The following is a 20261-nucleotide window of genomic DNA, read 5'->3' on the forward strand; positions in this document are numbered from 1 at the left end:
CCTTCTGAGATTCTGGTCTGGGTGCAGTTGTCATCACCCAGAGGATCAGGCAGATGCAACAGAAAAAGATGTAAGATTCATGTTAGTTGAGGTCATGGGGGCCCTAAGAGATAATTTAATCTGTCATCCTCTTCTGCAGGAGTAGAAGGAACACTGAGGCACAGGAAAATTTGCTGATCTGGTCAAAGTCTCATGGTGTATTAGAAGCAGAGCCAAGAGGAAACCTTGGCTTCTTGATTTCCTGTTCTAGCATTTTCTCCCTTCACAGCTTCCCTGGGCTTATTTTGCCTCTTAGGACATCTCCCAAATGTCTTCCCCACGGATTCTCCTAACAGTTTATACTAAAATTTTATCATCCTGTGGGTCAGTCACTTCTTCCTAGTATCTGTCATCTCTTATGCTCAAATTTAAAACCACATTCTCTCATGCTATGCTCAAAATCATGGGAGAATAATTGCTTAGCACCCTTCTCTTAAAAAAATCCTTCACTTAATAGAATATTATAATCAATCACGTGTAGCCTTTATTGCTCTTTGAAAATTAATATCTGGAAAATAAATGGGTGTATCTGGATCTATTAATAAGACAAATCATGTCTTAAGTTTGGTGATGAGCTCAGAGCAGCCACCGCCACCTGGTGGCAGTGTACCCTAATTACAAGAAAAGTAAATAAAGAGACTGCTTTCCAGAATGCAACTTTGGAGCTAGAAAATGGAGGCAAACCTTCTACCCCTAGGCAGATCCAAATAAAAGCATCAAGAACAAAATAATTAGAAGCAGTCTGTAACATGTTCAAGTAAATTATTTCTTTTCTACTATATATTCATTAATTCATCAATTAATATTCAGGTAAAAGAACAAATATTTGTACACGACTGCCTACTATGTGCTAGGCATTGTATCAAGCGTTTTATATATGTTACCTCATTTGATTCTCAATATACGACACAAAATATTGTTTCTATTTTACACATGCAGGGAAGTTAACAGGGAAATCCACATGGTCAGGATGTGAAAGCAACTGTTCAGGCCAAGGACCAGACTTGTCTTTCTTCCCTCACTGCCTCCTAATTCTGCAGAGTCCTAAGTGTGCATAGTAACTGTGCTCAGCAGACACATCCCTGCCCCTTACCGTGCTTGTTACTGGCTGCTGCTTATTTCCATGTAGTTGTTAGATGACTAATCTGAGCTTCACCTGGACTTTTAGAGTCTGTTCCTTTGTTCCTTTGTTGTTGGAGGTTCTGGCTATGTTATCTTTCACTGCTGTGAGATGGTCATGGAAGAAAGCAAATCCTAGGGAGGGAAATTTGAGTTTGACAGGAGCTAAGCTGCCTCAGGTTAAAAGGCAGAGGGGTAGGCATGTCCTGAAAGCGCCTCTGCCCTTGGTCACCGAGAAGGCCCTGCTGTGCCATGCCTCAGGCACAGGACTGAGAGCGCCCAATTCTGCACCCCAGACTGAGTCATGACCTCCTGCCAGGCTGACTCTGACTGGAGTGAGAGAGGGGCAGTGCCCTGGGATAGGGTCTGGCATAAGACAGGACAGTGGTGAGTAATGGGGGATGGATCTCAGACACATGCTGAGTGTTTTCCAGGTCCCCTATTAGGAAGCCCAACTGCATAGATGATGGTACCTTTTTGGGTGGGGAGTGGAAAAGTTTCTAGGTGATTCTGCTGCATGCCCCAGAGGTACCATTTGTTTAATAAACAAGTGAAAGGCTGAATGTGACTTGATGAGGATTTGCTCAGGATGGGCCAGGACTGAGACCCCCTAAAGGAGTCCCTGAGACCCTGGGGCATCCCACAATGAGGTCCTGGGACAGGAGTAGGGAGCTAGCATTTATTTATGGGGACACATTATTCCACTGCCTCCTGGTAAGAAATCTCTTTTTTTCTACACTCCCCTCCACTTGGCACCTCCGTTAGTGATCAACTTGTATTCCTCCTTGAATCAGCTATTTCTATGCATCCTTCTGTCTCCCCAGGCAGCACACATCACTATGGCACAGGGCCCAGGGCTTACTTCCTCTTTCCCCATAGTGCCTGGCCCAGGGCTTTGCCTGTAGTAGACAATGTTAATGTTTGTGGTTGACCTACAGAAGGTGCTCTAGACCCAGATGCCTACTGGGGGCCCATAGGTTTCATAACCAGGTGAGGTTGCCTGGTGGGGACCCTGTGAATAGGTGAACTCCTGCCCCATCTAGATATATGGGCATTGCCTCATCTTCTGGATTTTCACTGGATAAAAATCCCCAATTTTTAAATGATGACAAAAATGCATTTTTTTTTCTTTTACAGCTCTGTATCGGCCAAATAAAATCAATCTGGCTCTCAGATGCATTGGAAACTTCAAATTAAAGCAGGACAAATAGCCTAAGTATGCCCTAATCCTTTAAAAATAGTTTCTCAGTGCCCATACCTAATTATATAGCTCTTGGCAATTGAACTGTCTTTCAAAGAAGTGAGTATGTAATAGCACCCACTTCATAAGAAAGAAAATTTTATGAAGTTGTTTGAGTCAGAACCACAATCCTAATAAAATGTATTTTATGAAGTTGGTGAGAATGTTGCAATCTGGGTGCCGTTTTACAGAGCACAGAACTGGTACACATTGTAAATATGAGGTCTCTGACTGGCCCTCAGCCTCTCTTTTGGTGACAGGTGTGACAACTCCTCCCTTTAAGAGTTTCCTGGGAAGCTTCCAGCACAGGGTGGGATTTAGTGACCTGGCTGCGATAACCCTCCAGCTCACTTCTGGATTGGCTCATCGCTGTTAACAGCAGTCTCCAGCCGGTCACTTAACAATGCAGGTGTTATTAAGAAGGGTGGGTTTTGCACCACAATGCCTGCCCTATCTTGGGACTTCTTCTGGGGTATGGGCCCCTTCCCTGGTTTCCCTCCTTCTCAGAGCCCCCTTCCTCAGCTACATCTACCCTTATTCCACCAGGAGAAGCTGTGTGTGTCAAGAAGTGGGCACTGAGTGATGCTGCTGTGGGACTGGTGGCTTCTACCACTTCCAGGGAGTTTTCCTGGTTTCCAGGAAAAGCTCTGATGTGGGTGGCAGGCAGTAGCCAGGACATCTCTAGAGCCTAGGTTAGATGCTCTGCCTGTCCCAGCCATGTTCAGACCCAGCCAGGAAGCCTTAGAGGAACAGGGCTTCCCATACCAGGGCCCTTGTTCAACCTGCTGCTCATGCTGCTGGTGTCACTGTTGTCCCTCAAAGGCTTATGTCCTGTCACTCTGTATGTGGGACAGGTGGGAGGTCTCCAGGTTGCTCACCACTGAACACTGCTGAGCTCAGGTATTTTGCTTTCTAGGGAGGCTTCACAAGGATGGAGGCAGTAGGATGAGAGATTCCTGAAAGGAGGCAGGGATGACTACATCATAAAAAGGTTTCCTCTATTTATTTCACTGATGTATTTGATTTAAAAGCTGACTCTTTGGAGTGAACACCCTCTCACTCAAAAGAGCTGACTGAAACTATGAGAAGAGTGTGAATGTTGAATTAGGCTCACAATCATTTGAATCCTGCTTTGGCTTAACTCTCTGCATAACCTTAAGGAAACGTGTCCTCAGTTTCCCTCCCTGTAAAATAGGTTTAATAAAATATTCCTTTCCAGCCTAAATGAGGGAACTTGGGGTGATTGGTATAGTGTCTGGCATAGTCTGGATTTAAATTCTCTTATTTCTTTATTCATAAGCGTTGTTTGCCACTTAATGATATTCCCCTTTGTTTTTTCCTGGCTGAACTCATTTCCAAAGAGTTTGAGAGCTGGGGAAAGGATAAAAGTAAGGGGACATCATAGACATCCCCACACATTGTTGCAGTGGTGCTGTAGTCTGATTGTGATCCCCCGAAATTCATATGCTTATGACTTAACCTCAAAGGTGATGGTAGTAATAGCTGGGGCCTTTGGGAGGTAGTTAAGTCAGTCATGACAGTGGCCCCTTCATGAATGGGATTAGTACCTTATAAAAGAGACCCCAGAGAGCTAACTTGCTCCTTCCACCATATGAGGACACATGGAGAAGTTGCTGTCTATGAATCAGAAAGTGGGTCCTCACCAGTCTCCAAATCTGCTGGTGCCTTGATCTTGGACTTCTCAGCCTCGAGAACTGTGAGACATAAATTTCTGTTGTTTATAAGCTACCTATTCTATAGTATTTTGTTATAGCAGCCCAAACAGATAAAGACAGTTGGGCTCCTAGGAGACCTCCTTTACACCAGCCTCACCCCCTTCACTCTTCTGTGCTAATGCCATCAGAGCCCTGTTCATCCAGTACCTACTCCATCCTGGGCCTGTGCCATTCCAATGCCTGCAGTCAGAAGATCCTTCCTGAGGCACCCATTAGAAAAACTAATTCTTCTAATTAAAAACAAAACCCAAAATCCCTCTAAGTTCCCTTTAATTGGGTAAAACCCAGTCCTATTTCCTTAGCTTGGCTTTCCGTGGGCCTCCTTAGCTACCTACAACTGACTTTTCTAACCTTTTCTATCACCAAGTAAAGTAAGACAACTTGCTCTTCTTCAAACATGTCTTTCCCATCTCCACACCTTTGATTGTTCAATTCTCTTTGCCTGGAGTGCTTTTCCCACTGTTTCCATCTTTTAATATCCCACACAGCTTTAATGAATGGGACGGTTCAAGTGGCTTCTCCCCCATGAAGCATGTCCTTACCCCTCCTTTGTGCTATTAATGATGGATTTATTACACTGATATATGATATAAACTCAACAATACGGTGTTATTAGTTTATATAATTGTATTACTTTTAAGGAAGTTAGAGAAGAATAGACTGTTCATATATTTACCATTTCCAGTGCTTTTCATTTTTTTTCCTGTGTTTTCAAGTTACCTTCTGGTGTCATTTCTTTTCATCTTGAATAACATTCTTTAGTATTTGTTTGTATTTTATGCAGATTTGCTGGTGACAAATTTTCTGGCTTTGGTTGTCTAGGAATGTTTTTATTTTTTCTTCATTTTTATAGGATAGTTTCACTGTGTATAGAATTCTTGGTTGATAGTTTGTTTCTTTTAGCACTTTGAATATCATTCCATTACCTTTGGGCCTCCATTGTTTCCGAAAAGAAGTCATATTAATCACATTGATGTTTCTCTGTATGTTATTTTCTTTTCTTTTGTGGCATTGAAAATGTTGTCTTTGTCTTTAAACATTTGACTATGATGTATCTAGTTGGGAATCTCCTCGTATTACCCTAGTTGGAGTTCATTGGGATTTTTGGACTTGTGCAGATTGATGTTTCTCATTAAATTTGAACTGTTTTAAACCATTATTTTTCAAATGTTTTTCTTTCCCCTTTTCTCTTTCCTATCTGGAAGTTTTTTTATCACATGTATGTTGATGTGTTTGATGTTAATCAATGGATTTCTGAGGTTCTGTTGCCTTTTACTTTAATCTTCTTCTCTGTTCTTTGGACATGATAATTTCCATTGATCTATCTTCAAATTCATTGATTTTTTTTCTCTTCAATCTTGAATTTTCTGTTGAGCTCCTCTAGTGATTTTTTTATTTCAGTTATTGTTCTTTTCAACTCCATAATTTACATTTAGTTTTAAAAATAATTTCTGTCTTTTAAGAGATGATCTCTATTTTTCTGTTCCTTATTGTTATACTTTCTCTAGTTATTTAAAAGTGGTTTTATTTAGGTTTTTGAGCATATTTATAAGAGCTACTTTGAAGTTTTTGTCTGCTGTATCTAATATCTGAGGGCTCATAGATAGTTTCTATTGATTGCTTTCTTTCTTGAGTATGAATTATGCTTTCTTGTTTCTTTGGATGTGTCATAATTTTCTGTTGAAAATGGGACATTTTAGATAATGTATTATAGCAACTCTGAGTGTTATTTTTTCCCCTGAATGATGATGTTGTTACTGGTTTGTTTGTTTGTTGGTTGAGTAACTTGCCTGGGCTAATCTGTGAAATATGTCTTCTCTATGGTATATGACCACTTTTGTGTTGGTTCAGATTTTAGCTTTAATTTTTGTTTTTATTTTTATGTCTTGCTTCTTAGAGGTCTGTGTGGGTTAACGGTCTGCCAATGATTAGACAGAGGTTGTGTTCAAGCACCTTGAGCCTCAAGACTTGCATTCTCTGCCATTGGATCTGTGTGTAGGTAGGAAAGCACATTCAAAATTCAGGTCATTTTGAAGTCTGCTCTGGCTTTGGCTTTCCAGTGGGATCTTCCACCTGTTCTATAAGCAAGCGTAGCCTTAGGGCTGGCCAGGAGTGTGTGGCTATGTTGGCTCCTCTCTGGACTTAATTGGGTATGTGCACATCCTCAGCCAAGTATACACTTGCCCCAGTCATGCCATGGTCTCACCTGCTGAGCACATCACTTCTACTGATACTGCTGCCGGATATGGCATAACCAACCACTCCAAATCAAGTGAGTTCCCTTTGACCCACAGCTTTGATGATCTTCATGTTGTTTCCTTCCCTAGCAGGACCTTCATATCAGCAGAGCTCAGGGGAGGGTGAGGAGGAGGGTGCTTTCCTAGGCAAGAATGCCACAGGTACCCACTATTCTTACTCAAACTCCCGTCTTTGATACATAAATACTTCTCAGATTGTTGAACATCTTTGGTTAATTTCCAGGATGCTGAGATGATTGTTTTTGTCATTTTTGCTCATTTCTGCTTTTTTCAAAGAGAGTTTGCCTGCCTCCTCCCTCTGCTCTAGCCACAAGTCTCTACCAGTTTGCATGTGTTTTGATGTGACGGACTTTTCCTGGCTGTGGAGTCCCTGGAGAGCCTGAGTTTCCTCCCCTACTTACCAAAGAGTTCCACCTGAATCCACTTCAGATTTGTCTGTGAATCTTCAATGCATGACATGATGCCTGGCACCAAGCAGGTGCCCAACAAATGTTTATTGCACTCATAATCTGAAAAATGACTGACAGAGAGTGCTCTACATTTGGATACTGGATGTGGAGTATTCTACAGACCTGGCTTTGGGTCAGTAGAATGCTATTGATCCTTAGTTTCTCATTTGTAAAATGTCAAAAATAAAACTCAATTCTTGGAGTAGTTGTGTGACTGAAATAAGATGCAGAAACCATCTAGAACAATACTTGTCATGGAGTAGTTTTTTTGTAACTATTAATTTCATTTCTTTCCATAAGATGTGGGATTGATGAAGATAATATGCCTTGGGTGATCTGGCTTATTCATCCATTCAACCAGCTGTCCATCTACCCATCCATCTTGCTGCAGATGCAGAGATAAATAAAATAAGATTGTATTCTGGAGAAACACATCTAGTGGCAAAGACAGGCATAAAAAATAACTTGCAAAGCTGTGGGCAATAGCTACAACTGGTATGAGTGAAGAAGTGCAGGCTCCGAGGCCAGAAGAGTGACATTTGGCAGAGGGATCTGCTGTCCATGCCTCTTTGCCGTGGCTTCGAGGTCTCTGATCCAGGGCAGAGAGTCAGGCGTGCAGAGAGACCAGACCACCCAGCCACATTCTGCATCCCACAGAATTCTTGTGTGAGGAGATATCCCAGCAGACCTTAGGCAGTAACGGTTATATACATGCTCACATTGCCTCTCTAGGAGGTATAATTTTATTTTTCCTGCCACTATCATTTTACCCACTGTTTTGCCCCAAAGCACTCACATGTCACAGTATTTCTGTGGAGTTGAGGAGCATCTAACAAGCTCTCCTTCCATTTTTCACAGAGGATGCACCCTGCCCTCTCTTAGGGAACTTGAACTACCCACACAATACCCCTCTGGCCCCTCTGCTTACACACACAGACACATGCTGGGAGGTGGAGGTTTTTTGTGCCCAGATCAAAGAGGTCTCATGATCATTTCTTTTCACGACTGCAGAGGGTCTTCTAAGGTGGTCACACCTTTGGGGAAGTGGGGCTGCCAGCCTGTGCTTGGGAGTTGCATCTCCTCTGATCAGTATGGTGTTGCATCCTTCAGGCACTGCCTCTCCTTGGAGGCCCAGGGGACAGGAGAGTGAGGAACAGTACACAAGTTTTCTCTGTGTGTTCACCAGGCACTAGGGCTTCTTGCTGTGTGTTAAGCCAGCAGCAATTTTTCTTTGCAAATACAGACCCATTTTAGAAGTTGAGTGCTCGGTGTTGTGGCCGAACAGAAGCCAATTATGAAGTGGTTCATTGCTTGCACGTTGCAATCTGCCGGGGCAGGGCTCCGAGGCCCCATTTGGAGGAATGTTAGTGCAGCCCAGTGGAGCCCAGGTTGCCCATAATGCTGCCTTTGCGATACCTTCCAAGCCTTGCATTATTCCCTCCACGCACATCAGCAAGAGCATCGCGTGGGTGCTCCTTTGCTTGCCCTGGGAATTTTATAGCCCAAATTTACTATTCATTATTGTTTCCAAAGTACATCTTGTGTGATGCCTGTTCGGTGGTAAAATGGCTTTTCCCCCTTCTTCTCCACGGAGTTGCTTCAAAATCTGCTCCTGCCTGAGGGTGGGGGAATGGTCCTCTTCACGAAAGTCTTTGCAGAGGGGATGGAAGCCTTGCTCACCTTTGCAGGAGGTGTTTTGGGAAGGAAAGGCATGGGGGCAGGGCAGAGCAGGCAGGCTGAGTGCTCTGGTGGGATGCTCAGGTGGGATGGACCCTGGTCCATCATTGAGGTTGAAACGGAAACCTCTGGGTATTTACCCAGCGAAGTCACCTGGATAAGGAATGGGCCGGGAGGGTCATGTGATGGGAGTCAAGGCAAAAACAAAAGAATCCATTTATTATCCTGGCAGGAAATTTGTTCTTTTGGATTCTGTAGCTGCAGACAGAATGATTTCATTTCCTTCGGTGGCGGGAGATTAATAGCCCTTACCCCTGGGCCTCTGTGGATTGCTGTTTCCTCCATTTCCCTAAGTGTCGTCAACTTTGGTATGCATTCCTTTCTGAGGGGTCAGAGGGTATGCGCCATTTCACGCTGATTAACAGAACGTGGCCTTCCCTGTGGAAGGCTCCAGGATACCCGGAGGTGACTCAGGTTAAAACACACACACATCATGGAAAAAAAAAACCACAAAGAGAGGCTGTTCATAGGAGCCCAGGACTTGGACAGCAGCAGGGCAAGGCGGGGCTCCACCTCCGGCTTCAGATGTAGCCACTCACCCTGAGGCTGGAGGCGTGTGCTAAAGCAGGGAGCCCCAGGAAGACAGCTGGGACTAGGACAGCCACCAGCCTATTAGTTGTGTGTTTGGCACAGGATATTTAAGCTCACTGAGCCTCAGTTTACTCCTCTGTAAAATGTGGACACTCCACCTACTTTACCAGTCCATGGGGAGGATTAAGTGAGATGCTGTGTCTAAGTGCTTTTAAACCAAAGTCCTCTGTGGGAGTGACAGCCACACACAACACACCTTCTGGTGGCTGCAGGGAAGACAATTCCTGATTCCTAATCAGCCTTGTTTGAAGACCACAGTAAGGTGCTGACTAAGTCTGTTGGTCTGCCCCAAGATGAGGACAAGAAGAAGGCAGGAAATGGGAACCAGAAGGTCTTGGCCAGGGTGCATCCTCACGAGTATCACAGAGTCACCCGAGGGAGCTATTTCCACCTGGCTTCAGTGTTCCATATTTTCCAGAGCAGAAATCGCATATGTGGAGTCAGATTCCATGTTTGGATAAGCATAAGTGTTGTGTTTTTAAAAATCAGACCTAAACAATTTTCCCATTGTGGCTGAAGATATCCTGTGCCCTGATACCCTGCCTGGAGACAGCGTTTAGATTGTGTGGTGCTGTGGTTTCTACCCACTGAGCCTTGCACATACTTGGTGCTTAATGGCTATTTGTTCATTAGGAACCTTTAATTAACGAACCTTTGCATTTCAGAGAGATGCAAAGTTGACTAATTTGGGGGCATTTTTGTATTTTCTGATGCCTCAGTTTCCCATCTATGTCTCATCTCCACCCTAGCCCACATTCATAGTGGAGACTAATGAGTCTCTTATGCTCTGCATAAAGAGATGTCAGATTGAATGAAATGAAATGAAACTGGATTAAACTGCAGGGCTGTTGAACACAGGAATGTGTGACTGGGACCAGGGGTTGTCTGCTCCCTGGAGACCCTGGGAATAGAAAGGGGTTATCCAGAGAGGTTGGTTCTGGGACGTCTTCCTGGTGGCAAGGGCATGTCTCCATGAAGCATTGCTAAAAAATAAGTTAAATTTGGATAACAGAGCAATTTTAATAAACATTTTACTTTTAATATGTTTATAGTGTTGTTAATTATCTCTCTAAGTGGAGAAAATAGAAATTGTAGCACATTGAACAAAGATTGCTGATTAGGATAATAAAATGGAAATTTTAATCAAGACGATAACTTTAAGTCAAAGGAGGTTTTCTCTGAGGCTGCTGGAGCTTTCGTCTTTATTAAACACCCCATTTATCATCACTACTTCATTCATCGCAAGCATTAGATTAATATTGACAATTTAAAATAGAAATAACTTTTTATTGCCATTATGGTGCTGGTGTGATAATGGTGCTAGAGACTTTGCGGGAGCCGTTGCAGGCTGTCACGCTTTCTCTCTGCTGTAGTTGGTAGGCAGTCTTCAGCCCAAACCTCAAGGTCCCAGCCACTCAGGGAGGGGATCCGGTAGGGGGAGGGTTTTCCTGCCATCAAGCTTCTTCATGACTTGCAGCCCACTAAATCTTGTATGCTCTTTATTGAGAAAGCAAAAGGCTTTTGGTGGCTTGAGGTTGTTTCTTCAGTGGTAGAACCATGCCCAAAGGCCAGGGGCCTCTATTTTTCAATCCAATACAAGAGCTGTATTTTGAGTATCTGCAGGGTAGTGTGGAGATGCCAAAAGGCAGGCAAGACTCAGCCTTGTCCTGTGAAGATCACACCTACGCACAAGGCGGGAGCCTGAGTTTCAGATGAACAGGAGGGACAGAAGTGCTCCAGAGGTTTAGGGCAGTGGTTCTCAAAGTGTGGTGCTTGGGCCAGCAGCATCAGCACACACACTGGTCATGGAGTTCCACGGCCCTTAACCAGTGGTTCTCAGACTTCAGCATCAGAATCACGTAGAGGGCTTGTTGAAACAGATTGTTGCTCTCCACCTTGAGTTTCCGATTGAGTAGCTTTTGAATGGGGCCTGAAGAACAGCATTCTGAACAAGTTCCCAGGTGATGTTGATGATGCTGGTCTGGAGACCACACTTTGAGAACTACTAATTTAGAGTGAGGAGAGACTGCTAAGAGCAAAGCCAAGAGGACTTCATGGAGAAGAGTCCTTTTGGCTTTTCCAGGGGAAACAGAATCTCATCAAGTAGAGAGGAAGATGAGTGCCCTGGAAGGTAGAGGATCAGAGTCAGAAATGGGAAATTTGGAGGGCATCTGGCCCTGGGAAGAGGGTGTTTGGCTTACGAGCATTTGCAGTTGAGATGGAGGTGGACTGGCACGTGGAGCCTGTAGTTGGAGATGGGGATCTCTATTGCCAACTCTGGAGGGGGTAGTGGCACATGAAAATGCAGCAAGCACCCGAGGACAGAGCTAGGAGATTATGGGTCTGTCCCTAGCATGGGTTCTGTCCCTGGATCAGGAACCATTTGTGCCAGCTAGACAGTGGTACCAGCCCTCGCATGGCTGCCTCTTGAGATGCACTCTAGGCTGGGCCACCCCAGAAAGACCTGTGGGTCGGGGTCTGTTACCCCGTTCTTAGAATCTGGCTTAATTGCTTTTCGCTACATATCTGCCTTTACTGGGCTGGGCTGGGGGGATATGCCTCCTTTAACTCTGCTCCAAGAAGCCTCTTATTGTGGGGAAAAGGACCATCATCCTGGGAAGAGGACCACCACCTGCCCATGTTATGTCTGCTGGGTCTAGCTTTGAGAGTCACCAGCAGCAGGTGGCCTTGACCTTTGGGGTTCCTCTTCCAGGAGTTTCTCAACTGCTTCTGAGGGGCTGTGTACTGTGGCTCCAGGGAAGACAGGGCTGCAGACGAGCAGAGCTGCCTCATCTTTGGAGCGGCTTCTTTCTTCTACCTTCTCCAATCCTCTAGGGCTCCTTAAATGTGCTACATTCCTTTCTTAAAAGGCCTCTTTCTTTTCCTTGATCATAAAATTGCCAAGGAACAATAGCTGTCATTTAAAACAGCAGCTTTAAAGCTCCTTCCCCACCAGTTACTGCCATTGTCATATCTGTTCCACATCAAAGCAGTAGGAGCTCCCCAGAGAGAGAGGAGAGGTGGCCTTAGTTCTTCTCTGTACTGTGGGATGAGCTAGTCTGCTGGTGCTTCTCCACGCCTGACCTCTGGCTGGGTGAGAGCTTCTCTGAGAAAGAGGGATGTTTCCAACCTTGCCCCCTGGGAATTCTCTCCCGGCCTGAGGGAAATGGGGCTTCAAGGCCCACAGGGATGGGGACTTGACCTCACTGACTGTTCACCGTCGGGTGGGGCAGAGGATGGGGAAGTGTGGGGCAGGAAGAGGCCTGTGTCCCAGGCATGTGGTGAGAAGGGGCTATGGGTGAGTCTGGGGGCTAACTTAGGAGTCTTGGTGCGGGCAGTTCATGCCAGCCCCAGAAGGCTTTGGAAATGTGTGCCTGAGCAAGGAGGAGCGGCTGGCATTGCCTGCTCCCATGCTGGCTGTGATTCTTCATTCCCTGTCATTACCCGCTTCACTCTCCATACCCTGGGAGCTCTTGTGGCTACTCTGAGGGCACGAGGGAGGTGCAGACAGTGTCCCCAGGAGCAGGGTCAGCTGGAGCAGATCATTCTAACCTGTTGGTGCAGAGCCAGGGGGGCATTCATCTGCTTCCCCATGGGGGCAGCAGATGCAGCTGGAAGGGAAATTGCATCACAATGGAAGGATGGGCCTTGGCCAGGGCCTGGACCAGGAAAGGCCTTTTTCTCCTCTTCCTGGTTGGACCATTGCCTTCTTTCCTCCTGGACTGAAGATCTGAGTGTGTTTGAAGGGAAAGGTGCTGGTCCTGTGTCCCTCCAGTGTCTGGCTGGGTCCAGCGAAGGGAAAGAAAGGCTGGAGTTCTCAGGGCCAGCAGGCCTTGTCTGGAGGGAGGAATTCAGGCTGCAGAAAGGCAGAGCCCAGCAGGGCACACCTGCCTACTTTATGCTATGCAAGCTTCTCAGGGACAGGTTTCCAAAAGTGACTAGGTCTCTGGAGAAACTCATTTCCAGGCCTCCTTTGGGGTCTTACTGTCAAATCCTTGCAGCCTTTCCTCCCTGATCCCCAGTGCCCTTTGACCCGGATCCCCATCTCCCCTCTCCTCTTTGCACTTCCCCCTCTGCTTTGTCCCCCACTTCCCATTTGCTCCCCTGGGTTTTCCTCCCTTCCTCCATCCCTCCTTCCCCTGCAACTCCCCTTGCAGCTTCCCTTCTTTCTGTAGCCACCCGTATGCACTTTGGACTTTGTATGCATTGGTTTGCATGGGAGGAACACCTGGGCTGTCTTGGCCTCTGCAGTCTTGTTCCTTGGGCTACTGCCAGTCCCTCATGGGGGCAAAACCATGCTCACTTGCCTTGGGTGCCCTGACCTGTGGACACTGTGGCCATTTTCCGCTGCCTGACAAAGGAGAGTTTTTTCCTATCTTTGAGTTTTGTTCACATGTTGTCTTGTAAAAGAAGGTATAGCTATTAAATACTCTTTGTTACACATTTAATGAGTTATGTTGGCTGAAAACCATAAAATGGTGCAAAATCATGATAGCCTGGAAAAATATTGTAATCTTCTTACTGTGTTGTAGCTTTGTCCATGTTCAGAGCTCTGCTATTGTCTTTTCCCAGGCCCTGGAGGCCTGGTGTGCTTCCATGGGCCTTAGGATGAACCTGAGATCTTAATGCATCCTTCTTTGCTGAATGTCTGTTTTGAAACTCTGTCCAAGGGTGGATTTTCAGTAGAATCCCAGGGCTACAAGGGTTTAAGTTCAGATTATGTGCCCCATGTCCCTCCTGGCAGTCGGCTGTGCACTTTACCCACCTCGGGGCGTATTTCTACCTGTTTTAAGTGGTCACAACAGGAGAGTCCATGGCCATCTCGTTCCATCCACATGTCCCCACCCCTCACCACTGTCTGCCTCAATGTCCCCTCCTTTTGGTTGCCCCACCCCTCTGGCAGTCTGCCTTGACCCTAAATCTATAGCCACAGCATGCCCTGCCACTCCCACCCTGGCAAGCAGCTTTTCACAGATGGCTCTGTCAAATCTGGACGGGTTCCGAAGATGTTATTGGATTTCTGTAGCCCTCTTGTGCCAAGAACATATGGGGCTGCAGGAGAGAAGGGGCAGAGGGTCAGGCACTTATTCCTTCCTCTGCCCCATATCGCCTTTGAGCACCTCCTTCATGGTATTTTAGTAATTCCTTGGTGGTGAAGTGATGGGATTTTGAAGAGGATTTTTGTAGGTGCATCCAACTGCAACAGAATACATCAGCCTCATCGGAAGGAGAATGGAAGGCCTGAGAACGCACAAAAGGAGCATTTGGAGAGGGTAAAGTCACATTCCTCTGACACTTTGGGTGCAGGTGTCCGTATCTGTGCAGTAAATGTGGGGTGTGTGTGTGTGTGTGTGTGTCTGTGCATGTGTGTGTGAAAGAGAGAAAGATACATACATACTTATGCAACCTAATTATCGACTGGTATTGTGCAAAGAATGACTAGGCCTGTCTTCAGCACCAGGCCACTGTCATGGGATAAGGGACAGGGGACAAGAAAAAGCAGCAAAACAGTGAGGTATAAGTGGAGGAGTGCTGGACCAGGTTGGGGTATCTGAGCCCTAGGGCTGACTGTGCTGCCCACTGCTGTGAGAATGTGGGTGAGTTGCTTTCCTCTCTGAGCCTCACAGTCTCCTTCCATACTGTCAGAGGGCAGGTGGGGTCACTGCCAGCTCTGACTTTCTATGACTGTCACATCTGAAGAAGAGGAAGCAAGTGGAGCCCGAGTCGGGAGGGAGAGAAAGAAAGAGAACAGAAATAGACAAAGCTCAGAAGTGGAAGAGAAAGAAGTAGAATAGAAAATGAAAGCAGAAGTGAGAGAAGTGGAAAGAAAAGGGGAGACAAAGGGGAAGGCGAAAGCTTACCTGGGGGACTGTTGTCAGCAAAGGCAGAAGAGGGAAGCACTTGTGAGCTGGTGAGTGCTGCTGCCCCGGTGTGGCTCACAGGGCCTAGCCCTCCCTGGGTCACCCAGAGAAAGCCAGAGGAGGCTGTGGGTGCCCCTGGAGACTCCTCAGGGCATGTAGGGGGTGGTGTGAGCAGCCTCTCACAGTGGAGCTGGAAATGGAGAGAAGTGGCAGACATGTTTTGGGGATAAAACACACAGATTTTAGTGATAGGTTGGCTGCAGGAAGAAGGAGAGAGAGAGTTACCAAAGATGGCATCCAGGTTTCTGACTTTTACAATTAGTGGATGGTGGTGTCACTTGTTGAAATGGGAAAGATTTGAAGATTACCACTTTGGGTTGACTTTGAAATGGCTGAGACTTGCAAGTGACTATTGAGAAGGAGATTGGATATATGGATCTGGAGCTCGGAGGAGAGGTCTGTGTCTGAGTTCAAGATGGAAGGTGGTAGCCACAGTTACACAGATGGTGAACCTGCCTGCAGAAGCACCGTAGCACAGCAATATTCTTGAGCCCTTCCTGTATGGATGGAGAAAAGAGAAGGCTTTGGGGAGGAAGAGAAGGCTTTGGTCTTCCCTGCCCAGGGCCAAAGCAGGGATGGAAAACAGAGACAGGGGTTCCATATAGGAGCAACTTCACATCTCCTGCAGTGCATTGTCCTCATCCAGGACAGAGAGCCCATCCATCATGGAGTCCTTCCTGGGAGCCCATACTCAAGCCTCCAAATCATCCTTCGCTGCAACCACCCAATACCAAAAGTGAACATTTTTGGTGTGTGAGCAGGCACACATGTTCTTCTCCTGCCCTGGAGATTCACCCAAGGCTCCAATGCCAAAATATGGTGTTGTCCTTGCTGCAAGCCCTGAGGTGATATTGGGCTGAGCTAGGTTGAAGCTCCAGGCATATGACGGGTCTGGTATTACTGGGAGTAATTGTGCGATAGGAGAGCACAGGGCCTGGCTCACAGTAGGTGCTGCATGAATATGTGTGGACTGAACAAATGTCTGCCGGAGTCAGTTTGACTGCAGCCTCTTGTGAGTGGAGGAATAGGATTCTGCTTGATGATTTAGGGGCTGAGCCAAGCCTGAAAGGAGCCGTTTGGGAGGAGGAGATGATCTGTGTCCTGGTCTTAATCCTCTAAACTCTCCCTCTGGATTAAGTCAGACCCACCATGAACCTGGCTGCAAGGTTTCCACTCTTCAAGGATTTGCTTTTATTGCACCGCATTTTGGTGAGATGCCATCAGCCCGCACTGAGGAGCTTTAGAACAGCCTGTGAAACTCGGTGGTGTTTACTGTGAGGGTGTCACTGACAGCATTCATTGCATCACAGAGTGTCCTCTCCATGGGGCCCCATGGGAAGCGTTTGCCTCATGCTTCCATAGCAGGGACAGCCAGGCTTCTCTGAGTAATCGCTTTGTATGTCCTGTGGACCCCGTGACCCGTGTAACTGATCAGGTTTTCCTCATCCATTGACTGCTATAAAATTGAGCTCCAAATGCATGGCTTGGCCATAGAAATTCAGTTGTTTTAGCCTCATCATGGGCTTCAATTTATGTCTTTACGCTTGGTTTGGCTTTCTCTTTCTCACCTATTTTTCTTTAGAGAATTTTTGTTGCCTTTTTTCATATTGTAAAACAAATATAGATTCTCTATAAAAAGTTAAGAAAATATAGAAAAGTATAAAGAAAAAAATGAAGTGAATTATAATCCCCTGCCCACTCCTTGGGACAATCTGTTAAATTTTTTGTTCAGCTTACCTGTCTCTCCTATACATGAGTGCACAACACACATATGTGGGCATATACATATATACACATGCGCACTCACAATAGTCAGAAATTTGACCTTATTATCCGTGGTGTTTAGCAACTCTTTAAAATTTTAGTAATACATATATATTTTACCTGTTTGCTTATATATCTTTCAGTATTTTACATAATCCTTGTAAGCTACCTTAAATCTTCTAAAATAGAATGGGTTATAAATATAAAATGTAAGATTTAAGACAGAGACTTCCAGGCAGGCTTTGAAACCCAGATGGAGGAAAAGGCTGCAGCAAAAACCTAGAGAAGAGTCTGGAGAAGCTCCCCAGAGGCCAGAGGCTTTGGACTGGGGTGATGGAACTGCCCTGCATGGGCTGCCTCTGGTCCTTGAGGGGGTTTCAGACACACTGGAGAGAAGTTCAAAGGTGTCCATTGGATTGCACAGCCACACTGGAAGAAACTCAACTGCTGGACCTGTAGACAGAGCCTTGGGGTAACTACATGGTGATAAAGATGTAGCAGCATGCACCCTCTGATACCCACCACTCATCTGCACAGAGATATCAGAAGTCACCTCAAAGTAGCAAGATGGCTCCTGGTGCAGACTGAGCCATAACCTGATTGAGTAGTAACTATTATGGGGATAATATCTTAGAAATTCCTTCTGATACATTTTTTCAGTATCTGTAGGCTGTTTTCCTTCCCATAGTCCTTCCACCAATGATGCCATAGGAATAGGGGGAGGAAATATACCCCAGAACAGGGAAAAAGAAAGCTAGGACCTAGAGCAGCTTCTGTTGCACTGCAATAACTCGTGGTATTGAGCCCTCAAATGGTGCCTGGCACTCAACTGAGTGTTTTATGTGTTTTCATCATTTAATCTGCAAGCAGCCCTATGGGATGGCAATATTATACCCATTTTATGGATGATCACATGGAGGAAGAGAGGAGTCAGATAACTTATTCAAGGTCATGTAGCTACTAAAGGGTGGAGTCAGGATCCCAAGTCAGGTGTCCTGACTATAGATAGCACCCTTAATCCATGAGGCTCCAGGGCTCACACAGGAATACAAATAAGGAAGCCCTTCTGGTTCCTAAAAAATGGTGGAAAGCAGGAGAGGAAAGCAAGTTTGTAACTGAGTGCTAGTGTCCCACCACCCCACCTTGGGGTTGGGAAAGGTTGTGAGGTGTCATGGGCTTTGAGACGTCTAGACAGGTTTATGGGCACGGGTGTGTGGAGAACACCAGCAGACAGGACCAGGCCTGGAAAGGGACTTCATGGGGAGCAAGGTGGCAGTGTATAGGCACCCCATGGCCCAATGAACTAGGCAACCCAGCCTCCCCTCAGTGTGAGTGGGGGCAGGAGCTGACAGCCACATTTCATGTTCCCCACCATGAGGATAGCTAGGCTTTCCTGCACCCCACTCCTTGAGGTTGTAGAAGAGAGTGCAAATGATCCTGAGTACATCTGCAAAGAGATTCTTTTTCATGGGAAGGAATGGAATTTTTTAAAACTTTACTGTATATTTCTGCCTGCCATCGATAGAGCTGGAGGCTGATGAACAAGAAATCAAACTGTAGAACTGTTTTACTCAGTATGGTAGCCACCAGCCACATCTGGCTGCCAAGCAGCTGAAATGTGGCTAGTCGCAACTGAGAGGTGCTGTCGATGTAAAATGCACCCTTGTTTCTGAAGACTTAGTATGAAAAAAACAAGAAATGTCTTGACAATTTTTAGTCTAATTATATCTTTAAGTGGTAACACTTTGGACATACTGGAATAAGTAAACTAAATCGTTAAAATTAATTTCACCTGTTTTTACTTTTATTGATGTGACTAAAAAATTTTAAATCACCTATGTGATTTGCATTATGTTTCTATTGGACAGCACTGTTTTAGACAAGGAGGAAGGTTGTAAAAAAGGAAAAGAAGGAAGGTGTGCTGTTTGCACATCTCACTGAACTGTGTGAATCTGTATTGCATAAAATGCATCTAAAGAAGGAATGTATCCTTCCAGAGGCAGTGTTTAGGCAGGTTCTTTTTGTTGTGGGAATTGAGACCTTCTCAGGCGACTGGGGTGGGGTGTCGTGGAAAGGGCCTGATGCCAGAAAACCAGGGGAAGCCAAATGAGCCAGCCTTGGGGGGCAGGGAGGTGGAGGGCTCAACTAGGGTGGGCTCCTGGGAGGCCAAGTGCTGACCCCACAGCCAGCATGCACCTTGGAATTTCTTTGTGCTCAGCCCCTGTCTGCTTCCCACTGCTATCTGTACTCCTCTCCGTATATTTTCCTTCATCTGAGCTCCTTCCTCTTCTCTGCTTGTCCCAGTTCTGTCTTGTGTCTTCCCTGAGCCTGGGCTTCTCCTGCTAGCTGCCTCACACTTGCAGGTCTTGGTTCCTACTTTCGATACAGGCAGTCTGGTTAGTGTGATTGATTCACTTTTTCACCAGGACGCGTATGGGCCACTGACAGGCTGCGGGTGTCAGCCCTGGGGTCCGTGCCCACTCCAGTCCACTCAATAGCTCCTCCTGTGCAGATTTCAGTTTGGCATGTGCCTCTGAGCAGGGTAAAGGAAGTTGGGCCTGGTGGGTACTGTGGTTGATTGGGGGTGAAGGTGGTTACTCACGGGAATAGAAACAAAGACTTCGTCCACCCCAGGACCATTCTGGGAGGCAGTGCTCACCCCAAGTGACACCTGTCCCAAGTGACACCAAGTACATTCCAAGGGTGCAGATGAAGGCACAGCCCACTGGAGCCTGGGCCACTAAATCTTTAAATTTTATCCTTTATTCCCCTCCTCTCTGTTGGATAATGTGAAACTCCATGCAGGTGGTCTACAGGGAGAGGGATGTGCTAGTGAATCTAAGTAGGTATTCTGGCTACCTGGATAAGTACTAATTTCATTCAAAAGCAACACATTGGCATCTTGGTTTACACATAAGTCTTTGTGAATGTTGTTAGCATGAGTCAACCCCCCTGTTACCACAAGCTGTGGGTCTGACCTGGTCAGGGTGGTTTCATGAAGCATGGCACCACCTTAGCAGGCTTCCCAGAAGCCCTCCAGGAGGTCTTAGCTTGTGATACTCTCCACCTAAGATTTAAGAACTCCTTCAGGCTGAGGACTCTTTCACTTGCTCTCAATGGCAAGTTTTATTGTTCCATCATCATCATCATCATCATCATCATCATCATCATCATCATCATCATCTCTGTTATCTCCAGAATGCTCCTGTAGGTTTGGGTGATATGCACTCCTTGCTTGTGGCCCCAGAAGCCTATTCTATTACCATTCTAAATGCTCATTTTTTCCCCTGTGTGGTAAGACTTGATGCCAGTGCTTTGTATGTGTGTCTGTGAACACTGGCAGTGGCACGTGGGAGGGCGTGTGGGTCTGCCATAGCTGAGTAAACAGGGAGAATGTATCTGATGTC

At 46.0% G+C, this 20261-nt stretch overlaps 1 protein-coding gene and 1 long non-coding RNA gene across 2 annotated transcripts in view, besides 5 other annotated features; one reads left to right on the forward strand and one right to left on the reverse strand.

Moving 5' to 3' along the window:
* Positions 1 to 20261, forward strand: part of EPHB1 (EPH receptor B1) — a 465208-nt gene that overhangs the window by 42901 nt on the left and 402046 nt on the right. The gene's annotated exons all lie outside the window — the stretch shown is intronic.
* Positions 1912 to 1991: an enhancer, noted in NCBI's record as "active region_20572". NCBI's record gives its function as "activates an Ori minimal core promoter by ATAC-STARR-seq in GM12878 lymphoblastoid cells {active_cell/tissue: GM12878}" and the evidence as "EXISTENCE:reporter gene assay evidence [ECO:0000049][PMID:35858748]".
* Positions 2092 to 2141: a silencer, noted in NCBI's record as "silent region_14754". NCBI's record gives its function as "represses an Ori minimal core promoter by ATAC-STARR-seq in GM12878 lymphoblastoid cells {active_cell/tissue: GM12878}" and the evidence as "EXISTENCE:reporter gene assay evidence [ECO:0000049][PMID:35858748]".
* Positions 8353 to 8852: an enhancer, noted in NCBI's record as "H3K4me1 hESC enhancer chr3:134565355-134565854 (GRCh37/hg19 assembly coordinates)". NCBI's record gives its function as "activates a minimal SCP1, AML or CMV promoter by ChIP-STARR-seq in naive H9 embryonic stem cells {active_cell/tissue: H9 hESC(naive)}" and the evidence as "EXISTENCE:reporter gene assay evidence [ECO:0000049][PMID:30033119]".
* LOC105374121 (uncharacterized) lies at positions 14252 to 16325 on the reverse strand. The gene is made up of 4 exons (XR_924525.4): positions 16239 to 16325; positions 15316 to 15587; positions 15031 to 15220; positions 14252 to 14410 (listed from the first exon to the last, which is right to left on the reverse strand). It is a non-coding gene; the product is annotated as an uncharacterized LOC105374121 (long non-coding RNA).
* Positions 14681 to 14740: an enhancer, noted in NCBI's record as "active region_20573". NCBI's record gives its function as "activates an Ori minimal core promoter by ATAC-STARR-seq in GM12878 lymphoblastoid cells {active_cell/tissue: GM12878}" and the evidence as "EXISTENCE:reporter gene assay evidence [ECO:0000049][PMID:35858748]".
* Positions 14851 to 15060: an enhancer, noted in NCBI's record as "active region_20574". NCBI's record gives its function as "activates an Ori minimal core promoter by ATAC-STARR-seq in GM12878 lymphoblastoid cells {active_cell/tissue: GM12878}" and the evidence as "EXISTENCE:reporter gene assay evidence [ECO:0000049][PMID:35858748]".

Source organism: Homo sapiens, chromosome 3 (genome assembly GCF_000001405.40).
Source record: "Homo sapiens chromosome 3, GRCh38.p14 Primary Assembly".
NCBI lineage: Eukaryota > Metazoa > Chordata > Mammalia > Primates > Hominidae > Homo > Homo sapiens.